Source organism: Homo sapiens, chromosome 1 (genome assembly GCF_000001405.40).
Source record: "Homo sapiens chromosome 1, GRCh38.p14 Primary Assembly".
NCBI classification, from domain to species: domain Eukaryota; kingdom Metazoa; phylum Chordata; class Mammalia; order Primates; family Hominidae; genus Homo; species Homo sapiens.
This window is the reverse complement of record NC_000001.11, coordinates 14883348-14888739: the sequence shown is the minus strand read 5'-3', so window position 1 is coordinate 14888739 and position 5392 is coordinate 14883348. Positions and strand designations below refer to the sequence as shown.

Below are 5392 nucleotides of genomic sequence, written 5' to 3'. Positions count from 1 at the left end.
TTGAGATGTTGGGGTCATTTGTCACGGCGGCATAAGTGATCCTATCCTAACTGATACATCACTCTCTCTCTATCACAACACGGATTTCCAGGGTAGGGCTCAGAGGGGGTGGTCATTTTCCTGGAAGACTGAATTAATTAATTCACGCAAAAAGCTATATTTGCGTGAATTAATTAATAGTCACGCAAAAAGCTATATTTGAGGGGTAAAATCTGGTCGAAGTGGCCCCCTTCCAGTGTGTGTATTGAAAGGGATTCATTCTTTAGCAGCTGGAAAGAGCTTTGAAGATAAATGCACGTAGAGGGCTGATTGGAGCCTCCTACCTGACCTCGTGGGTCCCTCGCTTCCTCTCTCTTTCCTGAAGCCCTTTGAAGAGACTCCAGTGCACAAGACGACCCTGGAAGGAGTGGGGACACCCCAGCCTTGGGCCAGCTGACATACTGGAAGAAAAAGCAGGTGAGGGGAGAATGTCCATATGCTGGGAGACTGATGAGAGAGGAAGGAGGCCGGGCTGGGCAGAGGCCTCTGTGCCTGGGAGCCTCTGAAAGCACCGCTCCGGCGAGGCACGCTCACTGTGGACTTCACAATAGAGCTGCCCGGGCTGGAGGATGACAGGAATGTCCCGATTGCTTGATTTCCCTTTCTCATTAAAGCAGTGGCAATGAGGAAGGACAAATGGTGCTGCATGGCGCTTCCCTGTTCTCCATTATCACCGAGAGAGGCTGTCAGCAAGAGGCTCATTTGGTGCCATTTTCATTCCTTGTCACTTTTCCTTCTCTTTCTTTTATTTATTCACAGTGCTAGTGAGGTTCCCTTAACGATCCCCATCCACACAGCAAACACACCACAATGAAACATAACGAGAGAGAGAGGGGGGCATGAGAAATTAATCCATCCTAATGATAAAGATCATTATGGAGACAGAGAAAGAAGGAAGGGAAACAACACATTTCATTCTAATTAGGCCCGAAAGCTCATTACCGAGAGCAAGGAAAAAAGTGATCAAGTAGCTGCGTCCTGAAAAATCCCTTCTCCGGTTCCCTGGGAGCACGACCGCAAAAAAAAAAAAAAAACTACCACGACGGGTTGATGGTTCCCAAACTGGGGCTCCTCGTGGTAGTCTTGGGGGTGGAAAATTGCAGGGAAGGTTGCATGTTTTTTCCTAGACACTAAAAAAATGTTTAACTGAAATAATTATTTTACTCCTGATAACCCTGCGTAGGCAGACAAACTAGAAATGTCAAGTTTGTTTGGGGCTGGAATTCCATCAGCTCAGTGGTACCCCTAGCTTGCTGACACCAATCAGAGGCCTAATGGGTTGTCAGTAACATCATAAGCATTTCTGGGATCTCAGCGGCAGCCCATGCCACATCTGGGAACATGGCACTCATGCCGAAAGGAGCCTCAAGTTCTTCACGGCAATGCTACTGCACAGCTAGCCATGTCTTTGCTTCATTGCACAGGGAGAAAAGAATAAATAATTATTTAATCAGTTTAGGAAAAAAAATCTTTTGAAACATGAGGTTCACAGGGGGTAAAATAATAAAACAGGTCTTTGGCAGTTAAGGGGAAGCAGGAAGGAAATGGGAAAACAGAGGAGGAAAGGGGCATTAGCATTTATTGATCGTCTGCCAATACCAAGCACTATGCTAAGTGCAACAAATAAATGAATAAGTAAATAATCCCATTTAATCCTCACAACCACACTCGTGGGGGTAGGTGGGGGGATGGATCACTTATTTATTCATTTCACAAGTATTTATGAGAACCTACTAGGAACCAGGCATGGTTTTGAAGTGCTGGAAACACAGCAACAAACAAAAGAAACTGCCTGTCCTATGGAGCTCTTAACGACTAAATAAACACTCAGACACATACACACGTGTGTGTAAGTGTACATATACAGGTATACATGTAAAGACATATGCATGTTTATTTTTATTTTTTTGAGATGGAGTTTTGCTCTTGTTGCCCAGGCTGGAGTATAACGGCACGATCTTGGCTCATGGCAACCTCTGCCTCCTGGGTTCAAGCGATTCTCCCGCCTCAGCCTCCGGAGTAGCTGGGATTACATGCATGCGCCACCACTCCTGGCTAATTTTGTATTTTTAGTAGAGACAGGGTTTCTCCATGTTGGTCAGAGTGGTCTCAAACTCCTGACCTCAGGTGATCCGCCTGCCTCAGCTTCCCAAAGTGCTGGGATTACAGGCGTGAGCCACCACGCCTGGCCATATGCGTGTTTATATGTCTCTGTCTCTCTCTCTCTGTCTCTCTCTGTGTGTGTGTGTGTGTGTGTGTGTGTATGTGTGTGTGTATAGAGACAAGGCCTCATGCGTTCATCCAGGCTGGAGTACAGTGGCACAATCACAGCTCACTGTAACCTTGAACTCCTGGGCTCAAGTGATCCTCCCACATCAGCCTTCTGAGTAGCTAGGGCTACGGGTGCATGTCACCATGCCCAGCTGATTTTTTAATCTTTTTGTAGTGATGTGGTATGGCTGTGTTGCCCAGGCCGGTCCCGAACTCCTGGCCTCAAGTGGTCTTCCCACCTCATCCTCCCAAAGCGCTGGGATTACAGGCATGAACCACTGTGTCTGGCCTACACAGGTGTATTTTTTTCAGTGATTCTTAACTGGGAGCAATTTTGTACCCCATAAGGCATTTGGGAATATCTGGAGACTTTATGGCTTGCCACATTTGCAGGTGTTGTGGGGTGGGGCGGGGGGTGTTACTGGCATCTAATGGATAGAGGTAAGGAATGTTGCTAAACATCCTACAGGGCACAGGACAGTACCCATGACAAAGAATGACCTGGCTATGTACATCATGGATCTGAAGTTGAGAAACCTGTAGTCATATATTCATCTGTATCGATAGATTTATTTCAGGTAGTGACGAGTGTTACAAAGAATGGCTAAGGGAGGCTGGGCTTTGCAAGAGGATTGTAGAGCACCTACTAGGACAAGATGCTGAGCAGTGAAGGAAAGAGACATGATACCTACAACGGGGATGGGACAAGTCAGAAAGTACATGGGTCTTACCTGGGACTTGCTTACACGGTACTGCTTAATTGATTCTATGAAGGAAAATAAGGCCAGGCACGGTGGCTCACTCCTGTAATAATAGCACTTTGGGAGGCTGAGGTGGGAGGATCGCTTGAACCTAGGAGTTCAAGACCAGCCTGGGCAACATAGTGAGACCCCATTTCTACAAAAACAAACAAACAAAATAAAAAAAGGAAATAAAGGGTGCAGTGTCAGAGTCTACAGGCAGACCTGACATATGTTGGAGGAATCAGAGATATTTTCCTGGGGAAGTGGGGACACTTAGGGGAACCCCAAATGATAGGAGGAGTTCAATAGGTGGAGAGAAGGGGGAAGGATGTTCTCAGCAGGCTTGGCAGCTGCAATGTTCAGCAGGCAGAAGGAGCTGGGAGATTTGGGGAGCAGGCAAGGACGTAGGAGTGGCTAGGGGGAGCTGGGCCACGAAAGAAGGATGGGGGCGAGCCACCTTCCCCAGGCTGGACTCCTGGTTAATACAAGCAAGAAAGTGGTGATTATATCCCCATTTCCAGGTTAATGAAGGAGAACCTGGAGGTAATGTTATTTTTGTTGATTCTTGATTTCTTGTTAAAGTGTTTTTCGGAGAAGACTTCTCTAACTGCTTGATACCGACGGATAATAGCTCCCTCCCAGGCATTTTCCCGTGAACAATAGTGTCCTCCTTTCCCTGGTGGACTCCCTCGGTGAGCACAGCATTACGATACGTGTTCCGTGATGCTCGATCTCTGCCAGGGTCTAAGGTCCCCTCTGCTCCCCGCCTGTTGGCAGGCCTCTTCCTCCGCCATCGCTGTCGCTGAGAAATGTATTTCTTCTTTGATGGCTCTGAGATAACAACACTTCCTGCTCAGTTATGAAAAACTGTGTGGGGGAAGGCGAGAGGATGGGCCAGCCTCTGGCTATTCACAGTGTGATCCCCAGACCAGCAGCATGGGTCTTACCTGGGACTTGCTAGCAAGGCAGAATCCCAGATCCCACGTCAGAGCTACTGAATCAGAATTGATTTGCATTAAAATTAACAAGCTCCTCATGTGATTTCCATGCACATGAAGTTTGAGAAGCTCTGCTCTAAACGACCTTCGAAAATGCACCCAGCCCTGGACTTCTAAGACTCTAGCAATGAACGTCCTTAATATGGAGAACTTAAGAGTACATATATTCACACCAAAGCCACACAACCTATGCTTCTGTTATATGCATAGTCTTAAACACTGATTTTATTCTTTAATTCAGTGGCACGGTAGAAAATGATGTTTTTGGTGTCAATGTCCTTTGAACTTCTTTTTTCTTGAGATGGAGTCTCGCTCTGTTGCCAGGCTGGAGTGCAGTGGTGTGATCTGGGTTCACTGCAACCTCTGCCTCCCGGGTTCAAGCGATTCTCCTGCCTCAGCCTCCCGAGTAGCTGGGACTACAGGTGCCCGCCACCACACCCAGCTAATTTTTGTATTTTTAGTAGAGACGGGGTTCCACCATGTTGGCCAGGATGGTCTCGATCACCCGGCCTCGTGACCCACCCGCCTCGGCCTCCCAAAGTGCTGGGATTACAGGTGTGAGCCCCCGCGCCCGGCCTGAACTTCTTATTTATAGGCTGTGAGACCCTAGATGAGTGATGTAGTTTCTCTCAGCCTCAGTTTCTTCATCTGTGAAATGGGGAAAATATTGTCTCCCTTACTGGGATTTTGTGGGCACCTAAGAAGACACATACAGATATAAGGACCCCATTCCTGTACCCTATTCTTTCTTGCCTGCCTCTCTCTTCTGTAAAACAGACTGAGGCTGGGAGACCTAAAGGATACAATAGAGCTTCCTATCCCAAACCGTAAGGGGTGTTTGATGATTTAAAGAAAACAAGAGATTCCCAAGTAGGTAACATTCAAATAAGTGGCATGCAAGTTTCAGATTATAGTTCAGGGTTAAGGCAAAGGTAGGCCCCCTGTCTGATTCTTGCCTGGAAGGTCTTGCCTGTGTCCATGTGATGGGGATGGGCTGGCTTTGATAGGGAGGGAGAGCCCTTGAATCTCTTGAAATTAGATCCAATATTGTGTGCAGGTACATTATTCTAATAAGTTCTGCTTGATTTGATTGGGTAGGCGGGAGGTGAGGGATGATGGAGGATGGGAGGAGCGTGTGAAGATAATGCTCCCTTTGGCTGTGACCCAGGGTCTCACCTTTGAAAAAGGTGGGACAGAGGCCACCACTTCCATCCAGTCCTAAGAAAGCCTGCACCCTGCAACAGAAGAGCTCAAGAACCGCTTTTCTTTCTTTCTTTCTTTCTTTCTTTCTTTCTTTCTTTCTTTCTTTCTTTCTTTCTTTCTTTCTTTCTTTTCTTTCTT

General features: G+C 47.0%; 1 protein-coding gene across 11 annotated transcripts in view; it reads right to left on the bottom strand.

Annotated features, from left to right (window-relative positions):
• Positions 1-5392, bottom strand: part of KAZN (kazrin, periplakin interacting protein) — a 1225220-nt gene that overhangs the window by 229304 nt on the left and 990524 nt on the right. The window lies entirely within an intron of this gene.